At 42.6% G+C, this 8,536-nt stretch overlaps 1 long non-coding RNA gene across 1 annotated transcript; it reads right to left on the minus strand.

Moving 5' to 3' along the window:
• Nucleotides 1-546: 546 nt before the first annotated feature.
• Nucleotides 547-6,811, minus strand: LOC107986381 (uncharacterized). The gene is made up of 2 exons (XR_001742513.2): nucleotides 3,852-6,811; nucleotides 547-2,442 (listed from the first exon to the last, which is right to left on the minus strand). It is a non-coding gene; the product is annotated as an uncharacterized LOC107986381 (long non-coding RNA).
• Nucleotides 6,812-8,536: the final 1,725 nt, after the last annotated feature.

Genomic DNA, 8,536 nt, shown 5'->3' on the forward strand with positions numbered 1-8,536 from the left:
CCAGGGAGCTCAAGGCTGCAGTGAGCCATGCCATGGCACTCTAGCCTGGGTGACAAAGTGAGACCCCATCTCAAAAAAGAAAAAAAGAAAAAAAGACACATGTCTATATATCATATACATGTATCATGGTAGCAAAAAAATCACTTGTTTCTTCAGTTGTTTCTACAATGGAAAGTTTCAAAAATAAGGAAATTTAGAATAAATTATGATATATCCGGCTGGGCGCAGTGGCTCACACCTGTAATCCCAGTACTCTGGGAGGCCGTGGGGGGCGGATCACTTGAGGTCAGGAATTTGAGACCACCTTGGTCAATGTGGTGAAACCCCGTCTCTACTAAAAATACAAAAATTAGCTGGGCGTGGTGGCTTGTGCCTGTAGTCCCGGCTACTTGGGGGGCTGAGGCAGGAGAATCACTTGAGCCTGGGAGGCAGGGGATGCAGTGAGCTGAGATCATGTTACTGTACTCCAGCCTGGGCGATAGAGGGAGACTCCGTCTCAAAAACAAAACACAAAAAACAGAAGAATCCAATATGTCTATACATTACTTGAAGAGAAATCTTTGAAATTTTATTAGGTAAAAAAAGAAAATTATAGAATATTATGTATAGTCTGATCCTATTTTAGAAAATTAAAAAACAAGAGAAAAAAGTATATGTGCATATGTTAGGGTAGGTAGCTAGGCAGACATGAGCAGGGCAGGAGAGCCCCCCAAAAGGAACGTCAGGCGACCATCAGATGATGGCCAGGTGGTTGTTAAACTGTCTTTCTACAATAATAATTGATCACAGCGGTGCCAGGGGAAGGCAGTCTCCAACAGATAGAAAATACCTGAAGCTAGTGATCAGCAGCTTCCTAATAAGATCTTGGGATTTGGAAGAGTGGGCTCAAGCATGTGCACTAAGAGGCAAAATGGCAGAGTTTAACTGGTATATGACCTTCCTCTAGGAACAATTGACTGGTAAGGGAAAAATGCCTCAAATGAACATGTGTACAACTTCAGTAAGTGCACTGCACATGCAGCCCCTCCCAAATGCTGGCAGGCCATTGCACAGGCAGACAGCCCAGCCCAAGGAAAAATCAAAGGAGGAGAGACACAAAACCCCAGAAGCATGACAATATATAAAACCCCATGTCAAAGGTCAAACGGGGCACTTGGATCTTTCAAGATGCCCATTTGGCCCTCTTCCAAGTGTATTTTACTTCCTTTCATTCCTGCTCTAAAACTTTTATAATAGACTCTCACTCCTGCTCAAAAAACTTGCATTATGCTCCTTGGATGTATTCTTTGCTCTGAGGAGGCAAGAATTGAGTTGCTGCAGACCCATATGGGTTCACTGCTGCTAACACATCTGTGTTTGTGTATCTTTGTGTGAGCATAGAGAAAGTTATGAAAGCCTCTTAAAAGTGATTACTTTTGGGAAGGTGTGATTGGATGAGGGTGGAGAGGTTGTTACCTTTTTAAATTACTCAAGTAATTAACAAAGACATTACATTTGAAAACAAAACTTTAGAGCCAAGGCCGGCCCTATTAAATACCACTCCTGGCCCTCTTCCCGCGTTATATGTGGTTTTCCTGAGATTTTCTGTGTATTTGCATGGTTATATATGTACTTGGGGAGAATTCAGAATTTTTTAAAATACATGCTACCACGTTGTACGGATCTTTCTATAATATACCTTTTCACTCCACAGTGGTTCTTTTTTTTGTTATGTGTCCATGTTAGTAAATGTAAACTCTCTAATCCCTTTTTAATTGCTGCATAGGATGCCTTAGCAAATAACCATCTATTTAGCCATTCCTCTACTGACGGGCAGTTAAGACTCTTTCTATTTTTTAGCTATTAGAAACAGTGCCACAGGGGCCACTCGTGTACAAGCCTCCTTGAACGCATGTTTATGTTTCTCTAGGAGAGACACCACTAGTAAAATTGCTGGGTAATAGTGTATGACATTTGAAAAATATTTTTAAAGTAGATTCAGGCCCAGTGTGGTGTCTCTCGCCTGTAATCCCGGCACTTTAGGAGGGCGAGGCAGGAGGATTGCTAAGGCCAGGAGTTTGTGATGAGCCTGGGCAACATAGTGAGAGTTCACTTCTACAAAAAACTTAAAAAAAAAAAAAAAAAAAGAGACTACAGTATATTCTGTAGAATTGCCTTTAAAAGAGGCCATGACAATTTACATTTTATAATCTGAAGGATATTTAAAAAATTATTGTCTAATTTAAAACAGGCATGTCTTAATTAATAAAAAACAAAGAAAATCCATAAAATTGTTCTTGAATTCCCTTTGTTCTCCAAATGTGAAGAGATACATGGATTTTCACCTTTCCTGGCTTCCTCCAGGGAGTCCTCCCAGGTGAGCAGGAGATGGAGAAGGTAGCTTCGGACAGCAAAGATTAATGAGAGTCTTCAGAGAGCTTGTTTCTGTCCCCTGGAACTTACCTGATAAGCAAGAAAAAGTTACAAATTTACTACATATTGAGTATGCCTAGTCTCAAAATCTGAAATCCAAAAGGCCCAAAATCTAAAACTTTTTGAATGCTGGCCAGCATAAAATAAATGCTCCTTGGGGCATTTCAGATTTTCCTACTGGGGATGCTTAGCTAGTGTAATGTAAGAATTCCAAAACCCAAAACGTTTTGAAATGCCAAATACTTCTGGTCCCAAGCAGTCCCAAGAATTTCGACTAAAGGATGCTCAACCTGTATTTGGTGTTTTATTTATAGTTCCAGCATGAGAGAAAGGCATCTCTGAGTTTCAGAAAAGATTTTGGTTGAGCATATGAAAATATTGGCTGAAGAAAGAAAAGGCCTTTAGAATTTACAGAAACATGAAGTGGAAATGGCTCTTCCTCTGACTTAGGCAGTGAATGTAGAACACACCCGGAGAGCTTAATGGGATCTTTCACAGAAATGAAACTCCTCAACAAATGTTTGTCAGCTTAGGTGAGGTTCTTGGCTAAGGCACCAGTAGTGGACTTTGATATTCTTTTACAAGTGTATCACTCACCAGCAGAGGGGGCCAAAGAGCTTTCCACGGTTTGGAAACTCCCTGGCGTCAGAGAAAGCATCGGTATCACCTTTGCCTAATAGTGCAGCATATAAAAAATGTTTAAATTTGGTGTCCAACAAGAAATGCCATAGCAGTCATTTTCTTAAATAAGTAATTTTAACGTATATATGGAATGACATATGCACATTGTTAAAATGCAAATACAAAGAATACAAGAAGGCTTTTTGTATATAAAAACATAAAATGTTTTAAAAGACAGCGCTGGGGCTAAGACTCAGAACTATGTGTTTTAGACACTGTTCCCCCAGTAACCAGTTTGGAAACCTCCGGGATAGCTAATGGCTTCCCTCAGATAGGGAGTTGCCCTCTCCTTAAAAAGTCCCTGCTGGAGGGACAGAAAGGGTGACTTTTGTGGTTCTGGCTTTGTCCTATGGCCCTTTGGATTCCTTCCCACCTTACTGATCATGGTAGTGGAGTGGGTGGTGGCTGGAGGAGAGGCAAAAAGAGCATGTTTCTGTTCTAAACAACTGTCATACAGGGGCTCTGTGTTGATAAAAACACCCATGCTTTTAATTTCACATAATTTGTGGTTTAATTTGGCTATTGCAGTGACAGTCAAGAGATGATTCTCTTTGGAGAGGCTGAGAAGAAAAGGAAAGAGACTAATCAGGGTGTGTTAAACTTTTTTAATAAAAAACGAACACTAGGGGGCAGCAAACCACTGTTCGGAGGAGCGTCTGCACAAAATTTAGTAAGGCCGAAAGATTGTTTTCCTGAACACGTGATGTGTTTGTTAAACATCCTCTAAAAAGGGATGTCTGCTGTCAGGCTGCTTTTACCTGAATGGTAGTTTCAATCTTTAGGCGGTCTTTACTTTTCAGTTTCCTCCACACGTTCCGATACCTGCCATCTTCTCATGGAGCACATTCACATGTCACAATCAGTGTTTCCGCACTCTGGGCTTCTTAAAGGGAGCCCTCCTAGTGCCTCCCACAAAGACCGCTAACATTAATCTCCAAAACCACGCACCTCGTCGGGGAACAGGCGGCCTGAACAGCTCACTTCCTGTATCTTGAGGGATGAGGAGCTGGAGGTCTCCACCCGCTGGGTCTCTGTATTAGTCTGTTTTCACACTGCTTATAAAGACATATCCGAGAGTGGGTAATTTATAAAGAAAAAGAGGTTTAATGGACTCACAGTTCCACGTGGCTGGGGAGGCCTCACAATCATGGCGGAAGGTGAAAGGCACACAAGAGAGAAAAGAGAATCAAGCAAAAGGGATTTCCTCTTATAAAACCAACATATCTCCCGAGACTTAGTCACTACCGCGAGAACAGCACGGGGGAAACTGTCCCCATGATCCAATTATCTCCCACTGGGTCCCTCCCACAACATGTGGGAATTATGGAAGCTATAATTCAAGATGAGATTTGGGTGGTGACACTGCCAAACCGTATCAGTCTCTAAGTTAATACAGATTCTGCCAAGACCTCCTCCTGCCCTCCAGGTGATAGGAGAACTCTAGGGGTCCTATTCAAGTAAGCGTGTTCACAGGGGTGACCTTGCACTGTCCTGAGGGACGTTCCATATAGGCAAAGGCTAAATTTTGTTTGGCTAGATATTTTATTCTAAATCACCTAAGCCTATTTCCTCTGCTGACTCTGGGAATTAGTACCCGGGAGATATATATATCAGCTAGGACTCATATGGGCCTTGGTACCACGTGATGCTTTCTGGTAAGTGCTGCTGAGGTGCCATCAGAGCCCAGAGTATTGGGTTATGGTGTCATTTAGCCATGAGCTGTGTGGCCTTGAACAGACCATGTAACCTCTGTTTCCTCATTTGTAAAATGAAGAAGTGAGCCTGGAAGTGAGCCCAGAAGTGCATCTCTGGATCTGATTTGAAGCAAGTAGATCACCATGCTCCATATTCTTTTACGGGATCACATTTGTAACTGCCTGTGATGGTTAATATTGAGTGTCAACTTGACTGGATTAAAGGATGCAAAGTATTGTTCCTGGCTGTGTCTATGCCAAAGGAGATGAACATTTGAGTCAGTGGACCGGGAGAGGCAGGCCCACTCTCAGTCTGGGTGGCCACAATCTAATCAGCTGCCAGCGTGGCTAGATTAAAGCAGGAAGAATGTGGAAGGACTAGACTGGCAGAGTCTTCCAGTCTTCATCTTTCTCCAATGCTGGATGCTTCCTGCCCTCGAACGTCGGACTCCAAGTTCTTCAACTTTTGGACTGTTTGACTTACATCAGTGGTTTGCCAGGGGCTCTTGGGCCTTGGGCCACACAGTGAAGGCTGCACTGTCAGCTTCCCTAGTTTTGAGGTTTTGGGACTTGGACTGGCTTCCTTGCTCCCCAGCTTGCAGACAGCCTATTGTGGGACTTGATCTTGTGATTGTGTGAGTCAATATTCCTTAATAAGCTCTCTTTCATATATACAACTATCCTATTAGTCCTGTCTCTCCGGAGAGCCCTGACTAATTACACTGATCAATGGGTTCTTCTTGCTCACTGCGCAGATGTGTTGATTTACTAAGACAGGATAATTATGACAGAGAGAGTTTAATACACGTAGAGCCAGCTAAACGGGAGACCAGAATTAGCCTTCCTGAAAATTTGGAGGCTAGGGTTTTTCAAGGATAGTTTGGTGAGCAGGGTGAGCTGTGCTGATTTGTTGGGGATGCAATCAGGGGAGTGGGGAAATCAGTTCTCATGCACTGAGTCCACTTCTGGGTGGGGGCCACAGAGGAGGTGCTGGTCCAAGTGGAGTCATCCAGTTGTCAGACATGCAAGAGGCTGAAAAGACATCTTAAAAGGCCAATCTTAGGTTCTAATAATTGGGGAAACTGCAATTCTTGTGTCCTTTGGAACAATGACTGGTAATCATTTAACTATGCCTACATTTAGCAGAATTTAAGCGCCTCTCATAATCCTAAACTTGTGGCCTTTTATTAGTTTAACAAAAACGTAGTTTAATTTTGGGAAGCGCTATTATCATTTGAACTATAAACTAAATTTCTCCCAAAGGTAGTTCGGCCCATGCCCAGGAATGACCAAGGGCTGTTTGGAGGTTAAAGGCAAGATGGAGTTGGTTAGGTCAGGTCTCTTTCACTGTCATGATTTTCTCAATGTTGTAACTTTTGCAAAGGTAGTTTCACGATCTCCAGTCGTGGGCCCCCAGTGTGCATTTGCATGTGGTGGTGGTGGTAATAGTGGGGGGACCCCCAGGTAATTCTGGTTTGCTCCCCAGGATGTGAACATCCAGGCTAGATCATTGCTAGTATTCCTTCTGACATTCATTCATTTGTTCATCAGATATTCATCAAAAATATGTTGATATAAAGGTCTTTATGAGTCAGTTTTGAATTCTGATCCAGTAAAAAGTTGCCAGATAGATTATACAGACTATGCCAAGCAGACCTACACAGACACACACATGCACACACACACAATTTTTGGTGTGTTCCAATTAGTATGGTAATAGGTACTTGGTTAGGTTACATTAATATCATTATTTATTTTCCAAGTCAGAGTGACTTCACAGTAGTTGACAAAATGAGATGTCCTAGGACACATAAGCCAAGAAATGAGTAAAATTGAATTAAGTAGCTGTATTACTCCATTCTCACTCTGCTAATAAAGACATACTTGAGACTGGGTAATTTATAAAGGAAAGAGATTTAATTGACTCACAGTTCAGCATGGCTGGGGAGGCCTCAGGAAACTTACAATCATGGCAGAAGGCGAAGCAAACAAATCCTTCACATGGCGGCAGCAAGGAGAAGTGCAGAGCAAAGTGGGGGAAAAGCCCCTTATAAAACAATCAGATCTCGTGAGAACTCTCTCACTATCACGAGAACAGCATGGAGGTAATCGCCCCCATTCAATTCAATTACCTCCCTTCAGGTACCTCCCATGACACGTGGGGATTATAGAAACTACAGTTCAAGATGAGATTTGGGTGGGAATGCAGCCAAACCACATCAATAGCTGACTCATAAACTGCCCTGGAAAGAGAATCTGACGTCCTAGTGCCAGCTGCCACTCTGCCACCTACTGACAGTGTGATCTTGGTCAAGACAGTTGACAAAATGCCTTAAGTTTTCTCCTCTTTACTAATTATTACTTTTCAAAGAGGATTAATCAAACTCATTGCTTGTTTTTTTGGGATGAATATTAGGATTAATGAGATAATGTGTGCAAAAACTCTTTGTGAATTGTAAAGAGCTATAAGCCTTAATATTAATCTTGCCTTATTGCTATCACTACTCTATCAAGCAGGGGCAGTGGTATTTTCCTTTCAGGCTATGACTCTTAAAGGTAGCAATAGATGATCTTGGTTTTAGTTTGTAAGTGGTGAATAATCTCTCTGGGTTTTCTCTGTCACTTTCCATGAACCATAACAACCCATGTCTTTGCATTATTGGCCTTAGCTGACTCCTCTCCAAAGCTTCCTCCTGCCTCATCCACTAAAAAATGCCCCCTGTGGTCCCCAGTGCCTCAGCTGAAACCTTTTCCACTATGGTTCTGTAAATGTAAGGCTTTGTGGTGAGCTGTGGCCATGGAGATACAAAAGCTGCATCATAGTTTATTTGGGACTGGCTTTCTAGGAAAACAAAGCAGAGTGGGAGAGATGCTGGCTTCAGTGTGTCTGTGCTTTGTCCTCCTTATCCCTTCCCTGAGGTGTGGGGGACTTTTGCAGCCCCATTTTGGGCCTCAAATTAAGACTTTCCTGCTTCATATGTTGAGGGTCCTCATCATACTCCCCCTTCCTTTCTGGATTGAGGAGAAGGGTTGGTGCATTTGTGTTCTGCCTTACAAGAGGGATGAATACAAACAGCATATTTACTGAGAGAGGCATTTTGGGATCAGAGAGACTAATGCAATGGGTCTGGAGGTGCACACTGCAGGATGCTACGGTTCCTGGGGAATGTGGTGCCTTGTCTTCTCATGTTTCTCCTTCTCAAGGGAAAGGGGAAGCATTAGATGACCTTGTCAGGGTCACTCTTAGTATTCATGCTCTAATGAGCGCTCTTCAAGCAGCTGAAGCACAATTTATTTCTAACTTTCCACACACACTAGTGGGGGAAATTTTAGGATCACCAAAGAGGACTTAGAAGATGGCCATCCTTGTACCCTGCACCACTAACTCCTGTAGCCCCTATACCTTCTCTGTGGGGCAGTGGCTCTGTCCCGGGACACATGCTTTGCCATTGGCAGTGGTTCCTACTGAAGACAGTTGGGATGTCGGGTCCTTCTCATCAGCACTGAACTTGGGCAGTCTCTGAGCTTTGGGATCAGGGCTCCTCACACTCTCAGTGGTGGACGAACAGCTTTAACAAAATTCCCAATCCATCACAGACTGATATTTGTATAAAAACAAATTTTTGCCTTTGTAAAAAATGAAATGAAAAAATCCAATACAAGCGCCACTTAAAAAATTATTTGATTTTAACAGGTATAATAATCTGTCAAATTGCTATCAAAGCTTTAGAAGACTTTCTATTACTGGC

This window comes from Homo sapiens, chromosome 5 (assembly GCF_000001405.40).
Source record: "Homo sapiens chromosome 5, GRCh38.p14 Primary Assembly".
Lineage (NCBI taxonomy): Eukaryota > Metazoa > Chordata > Mammalia > Primates > Hominidae > Homo > Homo sapiens.